This window comes from Homo sapiens, chromosome 20 (assembly GCF_000001405.40).
Source record: "Homo sapiens chromosome 20, GRCh38.p14 Primary Assembly".
Classification (NCBI taxonomy): Eukaryota; Metazoa; Chordata; class Mammalia; order Primates; family Hominidae; genus Homo; species Homo sapiens.
This window is the reverse complement of record NC_000020.11, coordinates 48,927,688-48,946,849: the sequence shown is the minus strand read 5'-3', so window position 1 is coordinate 48,946,849 and position 19,162 is coordinate 48,927,688. Positions and strand designations below refer to the sequence as shown.

The following is a 19,162-nucleotide window of genomic DNA, read 5'->3' as shown; positions in this document are numbered from 1 at the left end:
AGTCTGGACAACAGAGTGAGACCCTGTCTCTAAAAAAAACCAAAAAAACTGGCTGGGCACAGTGGCTCACGCCTGTAATCCTAACACTTTAGGAAGCCAAGGTGGGCTTAAGCTCAGGAGTTCAGGACCAGCCTGGACAACATGGCAAAACCTTGCCTTTACAAAAAATAGAAAAATTAGCCCGTGGTCCCAGCTACTTGGGAGGCTGAGATGGGAGGATCACCTGAGCCTGGGGAAGTCGGGGTTTTCGGAAGCCTGATCACGCCACTGCACTCCAGCCTAGGTAACAGAATGAAAGGTGTTTCCTTTCTCTAAAAAATACCTATCTTTCTCTAAAAAAATAAAAAATAAAAATATATATATATATATATAAAATTGATATGTGACCAGAAAAACTTGGGGACTACTTAGTAGCTTAGACAAGACTGACCTTAACCCCCCTTACACTGAGCCCTGGCTGCGGGGAAGCGTGTAGCAGACCAAATGCTGGAGAAAGGGAAGACAGAATCTTTTTCACCTGGTAGAAGCAAGCCGCAGGGGAAGTCTCCAGGCTTCTCCCAGTGGAGAGGAAGCCTGAGCTAACTGTGCTTATGGCAAATCAATCCCAGAAGCACCTTTGCCACTCCTACTGCTGCGCCAAGCTCAAGGAATGGCAGGGCATAGCACTGATGTATCTGCAGCTGGTTTCAATTCTGCCCAAACCAAACTTTACCCCGATGCTGGCCTTCCATTTCTAAGACAGAGGTTACCTTGCCCACACTGGGAAAAGCCAGTCAAACAGGCTTGGCAAGGGCAGCCACCATGGGGAAGTACATTTTTTCCATTCAGTAGCCCAGGGAGCACCGAGCCACTTTCTCATGTCATAAAAAGGATGACTCATTTTGTATACTAAACAAAGAAATCCTAGTGTACCTATTACATCTCAGAGAATCTATTACATCTCAGAGAACTTCCATTCCTTTCTGTGTGTTTTTCCTTTTTTTAAAGAGACAGGGTCTTGCTTTGTCACTCAGGCTAGAGTTAGGTGTCACCATCACGGCTCACTGCAGCCTCAACCTCCTGGGCCCAAGCAATTCTCCTGCCTCTGCCTTCTGAGTAACTGGGACTAAAGGTGTGCACCACATGGCCCAGCTAACTTTTTATTTTTACTTTACTTTGTAGAGATGGGGTCTCAATATGTTGCCCAGGCTGTTCTCAAATACCTGGCCTCAAGTGATCCTCCTGCCTCAAAGTGCTGGGATTACAGGCGTGAGCCACTGCACCCAGCCAGAACTTCCATTCTAAAAAGAGAGATAACCATACCCCATAAGACTCAAGATTCACAGTGGGTTGAAACAAGGCAGGGTGTGTTTCCGTTTGAAATCATACTCAGATGCAAGGAGTTCCAGAAACAAACGATTTCTGTTACTAAACAGGCCAGAACCACATGGGTACAGTCAAGAGCAGGGGCCAGTTAAGAGCAGCAACCTTTTTCCATAAAGGAACACATACTAAATGTTTAGGCTCTGCGGGTCATTTGGTCTCCTTTACAGCTACTCCGCTAGGTCACAGTAGCAGGAAGGCAGCCACAGGTAATACATAAACGAATGGGCATAGCTGTTGCTACAGACTGAAAGTTTGTGTCCCCCTAAAATTTGTATGTTGAAGCCTTAAGCCTGCAATGTGATGGTATTAGGAGGCTGGGCCTTTGAGAAATAATCAGGCTTAGATGCAGTCATGAGGGTAGGTCCCTCATGACAGGATTAGTGTCCTCTAAGAAGAAACCAGAAACCTAGCTCTCTCTCCATGACACGTGAGAACACAGCTGTCTGCAGCCAGAAGGAGTGTACCCTCACCAGGAACCAAATCAGCCAGTACCTTGATCTTATACTGCCTAGCTTTCAAAACTGTAAGAAATAAATGCCTGTTGTTGAAGACATCCAGTCTATGATATTCTGTTACACCAACCCAAGCAGACTAAGACAGCTGTGTTCCAATAAAACTTTATTTGCAAAAGCAGACAGTAGGCCAGATTTGGCTCATGGGCCAAAGCTGATGACCCCTGGTTAAGAACACAGACACAGAGTCAAGAAGTCCTAGAAACCCACTGGGTGCAGTGGCTCATGTTTGTAATCCCCAAACTTTGGGAGGCCTAGGCGGGAGGATCACTTGAGCTTAGGAGTTCTAGACCAGCCTGGGCAACTTGGTGAAACCCTGTCTCTACAAAAAATATAAAAATAAAATTATCTGGGTGTGGTTGTGCAAGCCTGTGGTCCCAGCTACTTGAGAGGCTGAGGTGGGAGAATCACTTGAGCCCGGGGAGAATCACTTGACTTTGCAGTGAGCCACGATCGCGCCACTGCACTGCAGCCTACCTTGGACTAGGCTGGTCACTTCATTCCCTAAGCCTTGGTTTCCTTGATTCTAAAATGAGGACAAGAGTAAGTACCTCAGAGGGCTGTCGAGGGGACTACACACGGTACGGTGAATGAAGCACACAGGGCCCACTACAGGCTAAGAGCTCAATGCATGTCAGCCACTGTTCTTAGAACGTCAATTACATTATCAGCACTCCCTTCAAAAGAAAACCTTAACATGCGGAGAGAACAACTAAAATTCAAATTCTGCCAAATCTCCTCAGAACACGTTCACAGCAAAAAATATTTTAGGATAGAAGTAGGACTGAAGCCTGCCATTTAACAATTCTTGGCTCACTGTATGTCTCACATAGGACAATCTGTACAGAATTACACTGAATAACAAAATGGCTTTGCATTTGGAAGAGTTGTTTCCGTGAAGAAACTCTCATCAATTCTCAAGTACATGTAACAAAGAAGAGAGATTAATAGAGTAAATATTAGACCAGAGATGCCAAAAATGTGGCATGCTCACTGCCACTTTGCAGTCCTGTGCCTTGGTAGATAAAACCAATCAATCACAGTACTCTTTCTCGAGAAAGCTGTACACCTCTTCAGACACCTCTTCTACACAGCAATCAGAATACAGAATCTGGTCACCATTCCTGTTCTAGAAAGTATTGGCAAGCTGTGGATCACTTCAACATATTTTTAAATTTTATTAAACTTTATTCATTGATGTGGACTGCCCACTGAGGTCAAGAATAAATGTTCTTTGAGCCAGGTGTGGTGGCTCATGCCTATAATCCCAACTACTTGGGAGGCTGAGGCAGGAGGACTGTTTGAGCCCAGGAGTTAGAGGCTCTAGTGAGCTATTATCAAGGCACTGCACTACAGCCTGGGCAACAGAGTGAGACCCTGACTCAAAATAAACAAAAAAGAGAATAAATGTTCTTTGGGGTAATCAGAAACCTAAGGAGTAGGTCCTGAGCAAAAGTACAAGAATGGTGGGCCAGGAATTAAGAAACCCAAGTTATAGTCCTGTTTCTCGTACTACCTGTATATTACTGGACAAGTCACCTTAACTTCTCTACTCTTGCTTCTTCTTCAGTAAAAGGTAATTTATAACAAAGTTACTTGTGACTCTAAATACAGTCAGTCTTCATTATTTGCAGCTATACTTGCAAATGCACCTACTCACTAAAATTTATTTATAAGCCCAAATCAATACGTCTGGGGCTTTTTTGGTCATTTGTAGACATGCACAGAGCAGTAAAAAATTTGAAATCACTTGATGTTCATGTTCCTGAGGTCAAACAAGGCAACACTATGCCTCCTTGTTTCACTCTCCTACTGAAAACAAGTATCTTTTTAGTGGTGTAGTTAGTGCTGTGTTTTTTGCATTTTGGTGCTTTTTGTTGGTGATTTTGCTGTTTACAATGGACCCCGAGGGTGTGCTGATGTGCTTTCCAGTGTTCCTAACAGCAAGAAGGTGGTGATGTGCCTCACACAGAAATTATGTGTGTTAGATAAGCTTTGTTCAGGCATGTGTTATAGCACCGTGGCCCCTGAGTTCAATGTTAATGCATCAACAATAGATATTAGATAGTCTCTTTAAATAGAAACACATGAAGACTAAAGGCTTGCAGGAACCTAACCCTGTAGTTCCTCCAGGAACAAAGATTCAATGTTTGCTAATTCAGTATGGGAGGTGACTTTATAGCACATAACTACCAAAAACAACAGATTCAACTGTCTCTATTTCTCTACTTGATATGAATTTTAACGCCATTAAGAAAGAGGCTTTTGAGACCAGCTTGACCAAAATAGTGAAACCCCATCTGTACTAAAAATACAAAAAATTAGCCGGGCTTGGTGGCGGGTGCATGTAATCTCAGCTACTCGGGAGGCTGAGGCAGGAGAATCCCTTGAACCCGAGAAGCAGACGTTGCAGTGAGCTGAGGTCGCGCCATTGCACTCCAGTCTGGGCAACAAGAGCAAACCTCCATCTCCAAAAAAAAAAAAAAAAAAAAAAAAAAACCAAGTAAGAAAGAAAGGCTGAGCCAGGAGGTGTGGTGGCTCATGCCTATAAACCCAGCACTTTGGAAAGCCAAGGTGGTAGGACTGCTTGAGGCCAGAAGTGTAAGACCAGCCTGGGCAACATAGCAAGACTGCATCTCTACAAAATGGAAAAAATAAAAAAGAGGCTGTATAAAAATGCCTTATGTGCCCATGTGTGTCAAATATTCCAATTAATGCTAAAGGTTTCATTTAGAAAAACATACACAAGACATGAACAAATAAGATATTTCTAGGGGAAAAAATTTCTGGTTTTAAGCTAAAGAGCTCACACCTTTCTCTTTTCCCTCCCTCATGAGATCTCCAAAAAGAATACGTTAAACTGCTCCTTTCTGCATCGCCTCTGACAGCACTGAGTGCCAGCGTGGTCCCCAGCATAGTTCTGTGTAAGGACCAACTGTGGCTTGGAGAGAACCCCCTTGACAACACGAAGTTTAAACATGGTACCTGCAAGCAGTCAAGGGATGTGCTGACTACCCTTGGGGACTTGGACTGGCAAGCTAGCTCGAATGGAAGAAAATACTTGTCAGCTTCAATGAAGTTTGCCTTTGGTGGTGCAGCAGTGCCAAGCCTAGGAGAAAAGCAAGAGAGGGTCGGGAGAAGAAATGAATTTTCTACACCTTACTCTAACTTCCCATTCCATCTGCAACCATTTAATTTAAAGTGCCTGCAAACTATATCCTGGGGCTAGGCATTAAAAGTTGAATACATGCATTAGCAAAAACACCACTGAAGTGCCACATGCAGAGAGCAAGTTCTCTGATTGGCATGCTGAATTAACAACATCCTGGACTGAATCCTGGTGGCAGCCACGCCAGAGCTATATCTCTGAAACGTGACTAACGGCCTTCCTTACTATGAAGATCAGGAGTAACCACTCATGGTGCAAGCTGTCCTCATGCCTAAGGAAGCAGGCCATACAAGAGACAAGGGCTTTGCCTGTTCTGTTAAGAAAAGATACAACAGCATTACCTCGATCTTGATCCTTCCTTCCAAGTATACAAGTACTGAGGCAGTAGCCTGTGAACCTAGCATCAGTTCAAACATACACAGAGTTGTGCCGTGTGCCTAGCACCATGCTTGCAGAGTGTGTGCCACCCCTGAGGATTAGAAATATGAGAAACCAAGCAGAGAAAGAGGCTCCCCCAGTTGCTACCTACTCCCTTCATGCCGTATCTCAGCAAGGAGGTAGTGCTATAGCTTACCTCTGCTTTTCTATTTCTGCTTTAATTTCATCTGGTAAGGAAGGAAGAAAAAACACATTAGGAAAATGCAACATTTATGTAAAGGAAAACTTTACTAAAAGATATTTGGAGACCACTGAAAAGATTGTTAACGAGATGTTTAAATACAAAAATGCTGATATGAAGTGAAAGAAATAATTGTAACAGCAATAATAATAGCTAACACTTACATGGAGTGACTGGCTAGGCATTACTGTAAGTGTTTTAGCTCATTTAGCCCTCACAACGATCCTATGAGGTCCATACTCTTATTATATCCATCTCATTTAGAGGAGGATTTCTCAGCCTTGGCACCACTGACATTTGGGGATGAAGAATTCTTTGTTATGAGGCTGCCCTGTGCACTCTAGGATGTTTAGTAGCATCCCTGTCCTCCATCCACTGGATACCAGGAGCACCCCTGACCCCTCTGCCATCTTGAAAACCAAAAACGTCTGTAGACATTGCCAAGTGTCTCCTGAGCAAAACTGCTCTTGATGAGAAGCAATGATTTTGATGAGGAAACCAAGGCACAGGAGGTTAGGTAACTTGGCTACTGTTGCACATCAAGAACTAGGGAGCCAGAATTTGAACCGAGGCTTTCTGGCTCTACAGCCACGTTCTTACCTGTTTCTTGTTCTGCAGAATGCATGTTCATGACAGTTAGCTGACACAATAACATGGTAATATCACAACATCTCAACTGTGTGCAAATATGCATAGAAGACTGGAAACGAATATAACAAAGTATTGAAACCAATAAAATATTGAAAGTTGTCTAAGTAGTGGGATGATGATTTTTTCTTTTTTCACATTTTCTATGATAAGCATACATACTTTTTCTTAATCAGCACTTTTTAAAACAATTATAATAAAATATACATAACCTAAAATTTACCATCTTAACCATCTTTTAAGTTTACAGTTGAATGGCATTAAGTACATTCACATTGTGCTAAGGCACGTGTGACTTTTTTGAATTAAAATTAATTTTAAAATCTTAACCACAGAGGTTGCACTACCCTTGGCAGGGTTATAGGAATAAAATGTCATTTTTCAGAAATCACAATCTCAGAGATAGTGTTATTTCCAGGAAAACAAGGTTTCGTACCATTAAAACAACAAAACACCCTGTCTAAATACACAGAATTACCCCACATCCACTCAGTTGAGTGTATTTCTACATGTTAGACCCACAAACTCACATATTATCAAATCAGCCTTGGGAAGGAGGTTTGTCCTCAATACCATGTATTCAGATCATCTCCAAAAGGCCAGCCTCCTTTACACAATCTCTAGAGAGCCAGTAGAGTGGATATGGCACTAGTTATTCTAGCAACCCCAGGACACGGTACTGAAGGCTGCAAATTTCCTTTTCTTAGGTAACTCCATTCTAGACTCAACTTGAAGATGTGAAAACCAAGTAAACTGACTCACTGGAAGTAGCAATTTCTAATCTTCAAGCCCGACTTTGTATATCTTATTACACACATAAGAAAACAGAAGAGAAATGCCCAAATGACTACTAGCAACCATTTTGCTCATGGACCATAAGGGTTGTGACACACAGGGTCAGAGAGCTGTGTGGCATGGATCTTGCCCCTCAGGGAAAAGAATTCACCAAGGAAATGCTCCAGCTTCCACTAGAAGAGGCCCATGAAGTTGTGGGTGATCCAGCCCATGAGGCTGGCAGCCAAGCTATCAGCTTTTAGAAACCTGTATCTATAATGCCAAGGCTCTGCTTGGGTGACAAGATATGTCACTGTGACATGCCAGAGGGGTGCTGCTGCCCAAACTCAAATGTAGGTTTTCCTTCCAATCACCATTACCTTGTTAGAGTCAAGTTTAAGTCCTAAACCTATCTAAAGCAATGAGGTCTTCGCTAGCATTGGTGCTGGGCTGTGAGCTCTAAAACAATCTGTTTTGAAATGCCACTATAGGCCAGGCGCGGTGGCTCATGCCTGTAATCCCAGCATTTTGGGAGGCCGAGGCAGGCAGATCACGAGGTCAGGAGTTTGAGACCAGCCTGACCAACATGGTGAAACCCCATCTCTACTAAAAATATGAAAATTAGCAGGGCGTGGTACCACACACCTGTAACCCCAGCTACTCAGGAGGCTGAGGCAGGAGAATCGCTTGAACCCGGGAAGCAGTAATTGCAGTGAGCCGAGATGGTGCCACTGCACTTCAGCCTGGGTGACATAGTGAGACTTTCTCAAAAAAAAAAAAAACAAACAAAAAAAACCCATAAAACAAACCAAACACAAAAGTTACACCAACTACAAAGGCCCATGGAGGCCAGACGGGAAATGTCAAGAAAAAACACGGTGGGTGTAAGATCAAAGAATGACAGGACCCCCTCTCCACCCAGTACAGGAAGGGGTGCGGCAGCTCCTCAGCTCCAGCTGACTGGAATCTTTAGAGTCCCTCAGCTCACAGGTGCTAGTTGTTCTGATTTTTCCAGAGGTCGAAATCCAGATTTTAAGTGAAACCTCTGATTGTAATTCAAACACCTTCAATTGTTTTAAAATTATGTTAAATAGAAAAAATAAGATCTGGTGTTCGTTAGATCAGTAGGATGACTACAGTTAACATTAACCAACTGTACATTTCAAAATAGCTAGGAAAGAATAATTCAAATGTTCCTAATATAAAGAAAAAATAAATATTTAAAGTGATGGATATCCCAGCTACCCTGATTTGACTATATGAAAGCATCCAATTATCAATGCACCTCAAAAATATGTACAGCTATATGTATCAATAAAAATATATTTAAAAAATATTATGGCTTAAATAAGACTGGTTTGCAAGCTGCCTAGCCCTGAGGCTACCGGTTTGCCAATTTTGCTTTAAGGGATGGAGAAGAGCCGAGGAGAAAGTGCTTCAGTGGCTGCAGAAAAGTAGCTGCAGGGGCTAAAAGTGGCTTTTAAGGACTGTGATCAGTGCTATGAGGACAAAACATCAAGTTTTCTATAAGCGAAATGTTGTCCAGCCAAAGAACAAAGAACTAAGGAGCCAGAGGACTGAAGTTCAAGGCCAAACTCCATTATAAATTTTATAGATGAAAATCAAGATCCACAGAGGTTACAAGTTATTAAGTACTGGAGATGGGACTTAAACCCAGAAAATCAGGCTCCAGAGTCTGTGTTCTCCTGGATACCTCGACTCTCGAACAAGCATATGGAATTACTCTGTAAACCATAAATGCAGAAGAGTTTAAATGTGTGGTTTTCCTAGCACTGACACTAACCATGAAAGCTACAACCACGGTTCAAAACACTGGTGTTTTACTGCTCTGTGAACCCATCCAGCTGGGAAGGCTAGTTTACAAGCCTTCTGAAATCTCCAAAGTCTGTTTCTGGCCTGGCATGACCACAGCAAAGGTAAAACCTGGTTTTGGAATGGGAATGAGCAAGCGTTGACAGGACTGGCAGCAGCAGCAGTGCAGGGCACAGGGACCGAAGAGAGCAGCCCTCTCCTGTGACCAGGAAAGAGTTGCTACCTGGAAGAGTAACTGCAGAAACCCAAGAAACTCCAGTTGCAAATCCTATGTTCACAGATTTTCTTTGGTTTTCTAAATTTACCCTTAAGTATTCCCACAAGAATTAGGAATTGCTGCACTTTCTAAACTACTCTTTTGTTGAAGAAAAAAAAATCTTGAGGCCAGTCCCAGTGGCTCACGCCTGTAATCCCAGCACTTTGGGAGGCTGAGGTGGGCAGATCAGTTTAAGCTCAGGAGCTCAGACCAGCCTGAGCAACATGGTAAAAAGACTTGGAGTCCATCTAATAAAAAAGAAATAAAGAAAGAAAGACACTCTTGAAAAGTCTTCTCCACTAGGCCCAGTAGGGGCCCAGATGATAACGGCATCTTTGTAAGGGATGGGAGGAAGCCCATGGAGGGGCTGGGAGAGGGCGGCCTGACTCAACTTTTCTTCGGACAGATCACTCTGGCTGCTGTGAGGATAAAGAGGAAGGTGGCCAGGACAGAAGCAGGGAAACCAATCAGGAAGTTACTGCTAATAATCCAGCCTAGCAGCAATGGGGGCTTAGAGCAGGACAGAGCCCGTGCAGGTGGAGAGAAGGCACAGTCTGAAGCACACCAGCACCTTTTGTTTTTGTTTTGGAGACAGAGTCTCACCCTCTCACCCAGGCTGGAAATGCTCAAATAGCAGTAGTCTCATATGGCCCAACCTAAAAGTTGGGTTCTTGATATATCTGGATAATGCAATCTTTTTTTTTTCCATTAAAAGAGGGAAGAACAATCCCAACAAAAAATGGGCGAAGGATATGAACAGACACTTCTCAAAAGAAGACATTTATGTGGCCAAAAAACATATGAAAAACAGCTCATCATCTCTGGTCATTAGAGAAACGTAAATCAAGGCCCGATGTGGTGGCTCATGCCTGTAATCCCAGCACTTTGGGAGGCCCAGGCAGGCAGATCACCTGAGGTAGGGAGTTCAAAACCAGCCTGGCCAACATAGAGAAACCCCATCTCTACTAAAAATATAAAAAAATTAGCTGGGCGTGGTGGTGCACGCCTGTAGTCCCAGCTACTCAGGAAGCTGAGGCAGGAGAACTGCTTGAACCCTGGAGGCAAAGGGCGCAGTGAGCTGAGATCATGCCAATGCACTCCAGCCTGGGCAACAAGAGGGAAACTCCGTCTCAAAAAAAAAAGAGAGAAGTGAGGAGACCCTCTGCCCGGCAACCGCCCCGTCCGAGAAGTGAGGAGCCCCTCCGCCCGGCAGCCGCCCCGTCTGAGAAGTGAGGAGCCCCTCCGCCCAGCAGCCACCCCGTCTGGGAAGTGAGGAGCATCTCCACCCGGCAGCCACCTCGTCCGGGAGGGAGGTGGGGGGGTCAGCCCCCCGCCCAGCCAGCCGCCCCGTCCGGGAGGGAGGTGGGGGGGGTCAGCCCCCCGCCTGGCCAGCCGCCCCGTCCGGCAGGGGTGGGGGGGTCAGCCCCCCGCCCGGCCAGCCGCCCCGTCCGGGAGGTGAGGGGCGCCTCTGCCCGGCCGCCCCTACTGGGAAGTGAGGAGCCCCTCTGCCCGGCCAGCCGCCCCGTCCGGGAGGGAGGTGGGGGGGTCAGCCCCCCGCCCGGCCAGCCGCCCCGTCCGGGAGGGAGGTGGGGGTTCAGCCCCCGGCCCGGCCAGCCGCCCCATGCGGGAAGTGAGGGGCGCCTCTGCCCGGCCGCCCCTACTGGGAAGTGAGGAGCCCCTCTGCCCGGCCAGCCGCCCCGTCCGGGAGGGAGGTAGGGGGGTCAGCCCCCCCCCCCGGCCAGCCGCCCCATGCGGGAAGTGAGGGGTGCCTCTGCCCGGCCGCCCCTACTGGGAAGTAAGGAGCTCCTCTGCCCGGCCAGCCGCCCCGTCCGGGAGGGAGGTTGGGGGGTCAGCCCCCCGCCCGGCCAGCCGCCCCGTCCGGGAGGGAGGTGGGGGGGTCAGCCCCCCGCCCAGCCAGCCGCCCTGTCCGGGAGGGAGGTGGGGGTGTCAGCCCCCCGCCCGGCTAGCCGCCCCGTCCAGGAGGTGAGGGGCGCCTCTGCCCGGCCGCCCCTACTGGGAAGTGAGGAGCCCCTCTGCCCGGCCACCACCCCGTCTGCAAGGTGTACCCAACAGCTCATTGAGAACGGGCCATGATGACAGTGGCGGTTTTGTGGAATAGAAAGGGGGGAAAGGTGGGGAAAAGATTGAGAAATCGGATGGTTGCCGTGTCTGTGTAGAAAGAGGTAGACATGGGAGACTTTTCATTTTGTTCTGTACTAAGAAAAATTCTTCTGCCTTGGGATCCTGTTGATCTGTGACCTTACCCCCAACCCTGTGCTCTCTGAAACATGTGCTGTATCCACTCAGGGTTGAATGGATTAAGGGCGGTGCAAGATGTGCTTTGTTAAACAGATGCTTGAAGGCAGCAAGCTCCTTAAGAGTCATCACCACTCCCTAATCTCAAGTACCCAGGGACACAAACACTGCGGAAGGCCGCAGGGTCCTCTGCCTAGGAAAACCAGGGACCTTTGTTCACTTGTTTATCTGCTGACCTTCCCTCCACTATTGTCCTGTGACCCTGCCAAATCCCCCCCTGCGAGAAACACCCAAGAATGATCAATAAAAAAAGAAAAAAAGAGAGAAATGCAAATCAAAACCACAACGAGATACCATCTCACGCCAGTTAGAATGGCAATCATTAACAAGTCAGGAAACAACAGATGCTGGAGAGGATGTGGAGAAATAGGAACGCTTTTACACTGTTGGTGGGAGTGTAAATTAGTTCAACCATTGTGGAAGACAGTGTGGCGATTCCTCAAGGATCTAGAATGAGGAATACCATTTGACCCAGCAATCCCATCACTGGGTATATACCCAAAGGATTACAAATCATTATACTATAAAGACACATGCACATGTATGTTTACTGCAGCACTATTCACAATAGCAAAGACTTGGAACCAACCCGAATGCCCATTAATGATAGACTGGATAAAGAAAATGTGGCACATATACACCATGGACTACTATGCAACCATAAAAAAGAATGAGTTCATGTCCTTTGCAGGGACATGGATGAGGCTGGAAGCCATCATTCTCAGCAAACTAACATAGGAACAGAAAACCAAACACCACATGTTCTCACTCATAAGTGGGAGCTGAACAATGAGAACACATGGACACAGGGAGGCACACATCACACACCAGGGCCTGTTGAGGGGTGGGAGGCAAGGGGAAGGAAGAGCATTAGGACAAATACCTAATACATGCTGGGCTGAAAACCCAGATTACGGGTTGATGGGTGCAGCAAACCACCATGGCACACGTACACCTATGTAACAAACCTGCTTGTTCTGCACATGTATCCCAGAAGTTAAAAGTGTAATAATTTTTTTTTTAAACGGAGGGAGAAAAAGGAACAGCGAAAAAGTGTGTGTGGCAGGGTGCCTCACAGATAGCATGGCACAGCCTGATATGGCAGAAAGAAAAGATACAGGTGTGAGACAGAGCTGGGTTCAAGTCCTGGCACAGACATCTATTAGCTGAATGATGCCAGATGGGTTATTGGGTTATTAAACTTCCCTGAATCTTTTTTTTTTTTTTTTTTTTTTTTTGAGATGAAGTCCCACTCTGTTGCCCAGGCTGGAGTGCAGTGGCGCCTTCTTGGCTCACTGCAACCTCCGCCTCCTGGGTTCAAGAGATTCTCCTGCCTCAGCCTCCCAAATAGCTGGGACTACAGGCACGTGCCACCATGCCCGGTTAATTTTTATATTTTTAGTAGAGACAGGGTTTCGCCATGTTGGCCAGGCAGTTCTTGAACTCCTGACCCCAGGTGACACACCCGCCTCAGCCTTCCAAAGTGCTGGGATTACAGGCATGAGCCACCGCACCCGGCCAACTTCCCTGAATCTTGATTTCCTATTCTAAAAAATGGGAGTGATAAAAAACAGCCCCACATGCTCCAGAGACCATAACTAGGCACCAAGAGTGCAGATAATTCTCTTGACACCGCCATGAGAGAGGTCTTGGTGGTGACTAAGGCGGCAGCTGGCACACAGCAGGTGGTCAATAAATGTCAGTTCTCTTGCTCTTATTTTAAAACAAGTCAGTATTAAAGCAAAATCTCTAGTGGGATCTCCGTGGGATCAAGCAATGCCAAGGGAAAAGGAGAATGAGTGGAACCCTAATAATAATAATGATGATAGCTGACTCACTGATTGCCTCCTAGTGGCAGGTGCTCATTCAGTCCTCACCACAACCCAGGGAGGCAGGAACACTCTAATCATCCATTAACTGTTTTACAGGTGAGGAATCTGAGCACAGGGAGGTTAAGCCATCTGCCCACGTCACAGCCAGAAGTGCTACTCTGCAGTCAGGATCCACGCCCAGGCAGTCTGTTAGAGGGCCAGCACTCCTGAGCCACTCAACGATGACAGAAGGAGGACGGTGCAGGAAGAGGGGCATACGGCACAGCATACCTGCTCCACTTTATTGCTCCACATCTTAACAGGCGTTGCCTTCCCAACTGCCAATGGGGCAATTAGCAACAATTTCCAGGCTGGAAATGAGGGAGACTGGAGCAGGGTGGGGCAGCTGCAGCTGAAAAGCCGCGCTGTCTTTGCGGGAAATCCTTTCTGGATGTTACCGCTCGGGTCACACACCTCCATTCACCAGCACCTCTGACACTGGCTCGCATTCTCTCTTCCACTCCCAAGGCAAGTCCAACAATCACCATCACCAACCTCAAACCCAGCACTGCCCAACAATCCCATCAGTGGCCAATGCCCCCAGATCCCACAGTAACCCTTCCACACTCCTCAGACTTCTATCTGTCGCAGGCTTCCCCCACAGAAACCAACGCTGCCCCTAAATTCCTTTAGCTCCCAGTCACCTACCACATCCTCCTCCACTCCAAGCCAGCCTGGTGAGGCTGGTCACACTGACTCTTGTCCCTATATGGAACTGGGGAACTTCCAGCTCCTTCCTCTTCTCTCCTTCCAGCTGACCCTCTCAATTGCTCCCAGTAGAACCTGTCTTTGTCCTGTCAAACCTTGAGATGGCCAACCTCTCGGCTTTCCTTTTTCCTCATTTTCCAGGGTAGATCCCATCAGCAGGACTATTATCAGATGACACGCAATCAATAGCCTGGACTCTCTCTGACCTTTAGTCTTAACTTCTGGCAAAATCCCAAACTTAGATTGTACTAGCGTCCCCTTTTCACCTGTCTCCGCCTAAGCAGACCTCTGACAACAGGGCAGGTTGGCAGGCCTACAGAGCCCCAATTACCCACCACGAATGAAACCTGAAATGCTGCCCAGTAATTTGGTCACCTCTCACTCTCCACGATGGCTACTGCACATTTCTCCACCCTCAATGGCCCAACTCTCCCCTCCCAATCATCGCTGTTCTGCTGCCGTCCTCTTTACTCACAACCAATGGAGTGGCCTCCTACTTCACTCAGAAATTAGAAGTGGGCACAAGGAGACTCCCTCAGCTTGCTGTTAGCAAACCTACAACCTGACCCACTTCGGGCCTACTCTCTGCTCTCTCCTGCTATAAGGGAGTGGGTGTCCAACCCCTCCACCTCTGTCACCTCCCATCCCTATCCGCCTTCTCAGGAACTTCACACTATCCATAATATCTAGAACCTGATCCCTTCTTACCACACTAGGCCACCACTATCACCCTAGGCCAAGCAACTGTTATCTCCCACCTGGGCCATCACAATGGTCTTGTAACTGGTCTCCATGCTTCAGCAATTATCCTCCCTTCCACCCCACAGCTTTTCTCAACAGCAGCCAGAGGGATGCCCTCAAAATGTAACTCAGATCACAACACTCCTTTGCTCAAAATGCTCCAGTAGCTTTCCATCCCACTCCGCGTAAAATTAAAACTCTCGATCTTGGCCTCCAAACCTCTATGTGATCTGGCCCCTGCTATCCCTCTGCTCTCACCTTCTACCACCCTGGCCCTGGCCTACTTGCTCGAACACACCAAGCACATTTCTGCCCCGGGGCCTTTGCATGAGCTATTCCTGCTCCTGGGAATGCCCTCCCTCCCCCCAGATATCTCCATGGCTCACCCCCTCACTTCCTTCAGATCTCTGCTCTGATGTCCTCCTCAGGGGACTTCCTCAGCACCTAATACTGCCACCCCCTTGTCACCCTGTATCTCCTTACCTGGTTTGTTCTCTCACTTTACTAATTCATTTTTTTAGTCTTTTTTTAGTATTTATCACCCTTGACATATTATATATCAGTTCATTTACTATCTGCCTTCCCCAGCAGAACATAAACTCTATGACAACAGACACTTTGCCTGTTCTGTTCACTGCTGAATTCCCAAGTACTGAGAATTCTTCAGCACAGAGTGGCAGGCACTCAACATTTGTTGAAAAAATGAAACACTGTCCTTTCTTCTTTCTGCATTACCAAACCTCTCCTTGAACTGGCTCCCTCCCCAATGACATTTAAACAAGTTCAAGTCTCTTCTACCTTAAAAAAAAGAAAAAACAAAATACTTTTAACATCCACATCTCCCTCCTCCCACAGCCAACCTTCGGGAAAGAGTTGTCTATGTTCACCGTCTGTTTCCTCACCTCCCACGCCAGTCTGGCTTTCACCTCCATCATGCCACCAAAACAGCTCAAGCTAAGGCCACCAATGACCCACATGTCTCTAAATCTGATGGGCATTTTTCCAGTCTTTACCTCACTTGACCTCTCTGTAGCATTTCACCTTACTGACCTCACTCTCAAATTTTCTCGACTTCGGGCTTCATAACCACATATTTTCCTCATCTTTCCTCCGCTTCTTACCCATCTCTGCTCTATTTCGTCTGCAGACTCAGCCTCCTCTGCCCAGCCAGAAAAGGCCTGGAGGGTTCTCAGGCCCAGGCCTCCTGCCTCTCCCTCTGTATACCGTCTCACCAGGCTTCCCATTCCCACCTAGACTCTGCTGACTCCCAAATTCCTATCTTAAGCCCAGACCTCTCTTATGAACATCAGGCTCATACAACTGGCCACTTCCCATTTCACATGTCCAACTGAATGCTCAAAGGCAGACCAAACTCCACACATCCAAGTCCCAACTCAGATCAACTTCCTCCCTCCACCACTCCATGTAGTCCTCTTCCCACATTCCCATCTTAAAAAATAGGCACCATCCACCCAGCTGGGTGAGTCAGAAATCGGAGAGTCAAGCTTATCAATCCTCTTTCCCATGCTCTTACTCGCTCCATCACAAGGTTTTGTTGGCTTCATCTTCTAACCAGGTTGGAAATTCATTTTCTTTGCTCTATTTCTACTGTCACCACTAGTCCAGGCCACCAATATCTCTCACCTGAACAATGGTAACTGCCTGCGATGGTTTGAATGTCCCTACCAAAACTCTGCTGCAAATTAATTGCCACTGTGATGGTGTAAGAGTGGAGCCTTTAAGAAGTGATTAGGTCACGAGGGCTCTGCCCTCATGAATGGACTAATACGTTACTGCATGAGTGTGCTCCTGATAAAAAGATGAGTTCAACCCCCATTTCCTCTCTCGCCTTCCGCCATAGGATGACCCTGGCCAGATGCTAGTGCCATGCTCTTGGACTGTGAGCCAAATAAACTTCTGTTCTTTATAAATCGCCCAGTGAGTAGCATTCTGTTAAAGCAGCACAAAATGGACTAAGACAGTCTCTTCATTGGTTCCTTGGCAATCCCTCTGGTCTTCCCCTAAGATGTTCTGAACACAGTGGTCCAAATGATTTTTCCAAAATAATACACCTGGTCATCCTATCACCTGCTTCCCGGTTTAAAACTCTTCAGTGTCATCTCACTGCCTTTGACCTAAAAAATAAAACTCCTAGCCATGACCTCCAGGCCTTGCATGTTGGGGTCTTGGCCTACCTCTCCCACTCCCACTCCATCTCCACTCTCTTTGCTCAAGTACAATGTTCCAACCACACACTGGCCTCTTTCAGTTTCCCCAACAACTGTTTTCCTCTCTGCCATAGAGCCTTCACTCAGGTTGTTCCCTCTGCTGAAATGCCTCCTGCCCCCAACTACTTAATTCTCACTCATCATTAATTCTCAATGAATGAGTGAGACTTCCTCAGGGAAGTCTTCCCTCACCCCACTGTTCACTGCCCTGGCAGAACCAGGTTTCTTTCCTTCAGTACTTCTCGGGTTGTTATTATGACCTAGAGGGCATATCCTCTGAACAATGCCCATCTACCCCATTCAACTGCAAACTCCTTCAGAACATGGTCCTTGTTTGTTTTGATCCCTCTGCATCATGACACCAGGGGTGACACCCAAATAAATATCTTCTGAATAAATGTTGGGTCTGGTTTAGTCAACAGGCAAAAGGGCTATATTCAGAACGACAAATATACACTGACCACTCCCTAGGACGGAAGGAAAACTTAAGAATTTTGTGTCCTAGCACAAGAAGGCTGTTCTCCTCACAAAGGTATAAAACCTAATAAAATATCAAGCCAGAAGGCTTGTTTACACCCAAGGCACTAAACAGAAATGAGCTTCTCACTGGAAAATTTCAGAAATGAATCAGCAAATGCAAAACTATTTTTTCTAGGATAACCTTGCTGGAAAGAAAGTCAAGTATTTTCCTGGCAGGCCCCCTAAGCCTGGTGAAACTGGCAAGAGCTAAACACAGCTCTGAGCTATTTATATAGGACACTCCATGTTCTTGCTGATTAAGTACACATTTTCACAAGTTCACTCTTTTTCATGAAGAATGGTCTTACTGTTTTCCCTAGCACTGCTTTCAGACTCTCCCCTGAGATTTACAAGTACAGGATAGAGCTCTAAATTCATTCTATCCAACCACTGCTTCACTCATGTTGGAGACTTACAAAAAGGTCTATAAACCAACTAATAGGGGAGGTAGAGAAAGGCAAGCATTCAGTTCCTTTTCCTTTAAAGACTGCAACACCGGCTGGGCGCAGTGGCTCACGCCTGTAATCCCAGCACTTTAGGAGGCTGAGGCGGGCAGATCACGAGGTCAGGAGATCGAAACCATCCTGGCTAACACGGTGAAACCCCGTCTCTACTAAAAATACAAAAAATTAGCTGGGTGTGGTGGCGGGCGCCTGTGGTCCCAGCTACTTGGGAGGCTGAGGCAGGAGAATGGCGTGAACCCAGGAGGCAGAGCTTGCAGTGAGCCGAGATCACGCCACTGCACTCCAGCCTGGGCGACAGAGCGAGACTGGCTCAAAAAAAAAAAGATTGCGGCCGGGCGCGGTGGCTCACGCCTGTAATCCCAGCACTTTGGGAGGCCGAGGCGGGCGGATCACGAGGTCAGGAGATCGAGACCATCCTGGCTAACACGGTGAAACCCCGTCTCTACTAAAAATACAAAAAATTAGCCGGGCGTGGTAGCGGGCGCCTGTAGTCCCAGCTACTCGGGAGGCTGAGGCAGGAGAATGGCGTGAACCCGGGAGGCGGAGCTTGCAGTGAGCCGAGATCGCGCCACTGCACTCCAGCCTGGGCGACAGAGCGAGACTCCGTCTCAAAAAAAAAAAAAAAAAAAAAAAAGATTGCAACACCAATGCCTCTGAATTTCAGCAGGTCATCTGTTAGGTGCCAGGTACTGTGCCAGTTACTTACTGCACTAGTCCATTTAACCTTTGCAATAATCCTGTGACAAAGGTATTACTATCTTTATCACCTTGGGAAACTGCGGCCCAAAGAGGGATCACTGGACTATCAATAAGCAAATCAAACTTTCAAAGTCTCAATCAACTCTCTGCCAATCCTACATATAAATGCTTTTCAATAATCAAGAACAATCCAGTTTTTTGATGCTGCTTCCAGACAGATAACCTCCTCCTGAAGAATCCACAGTGGTTTTCAACAAAAAGTAATCTTCCAGGGTCCTGAGTCCTGTTATTTCTCAAAATTTTTATGATACATAGCACTTATAAACGAAATGTCTCATCAAAACACTAGAATTTGCTAAAATTAAAGGCTTTATTCTGCATTTCAATTTAAAGTCTTGTTATGTCAATTTATTTATTTATTTTTTAATTTTTTTTTTTTT

General features: G+C 46.6%; 1 protein-coding gene across 3 annotated transcripts in view; it reads right to left on the bottom strand.

Moving 5' to 3' along the window:
• ARFGEF2 (ARF guanine nucleotide exchange factor 2) overlaps positions 1-19,162 on the bottom strand; it is a 114,983-nt gene that overhangs the window by 89,844 nt on the left and 5,977 nt on the right. For 2 of the 3 annotated variants that reach the window (NM_006420.3, NM_001410846.1), the window contains exons 2-3: positions 5,621-5,651; positions 4,863-4,986 (exon numbers count right to left, since the gene is read on the bottom strand). The exons of the other annotated variant lie outside the window; for it this stretch is intronic. In NM_006420.3, coding sequence (NP_006411.2) covers positions 4,863-4,986; positions 5,621-5,651 — 155 coding nt within the window. The remainder of the gene's footprint in view (positions 1-4,862; positions 4,987-5,620; positions 5,652-19,162) is intronic. 3 annotated transcript variants of the gene reach the window in all.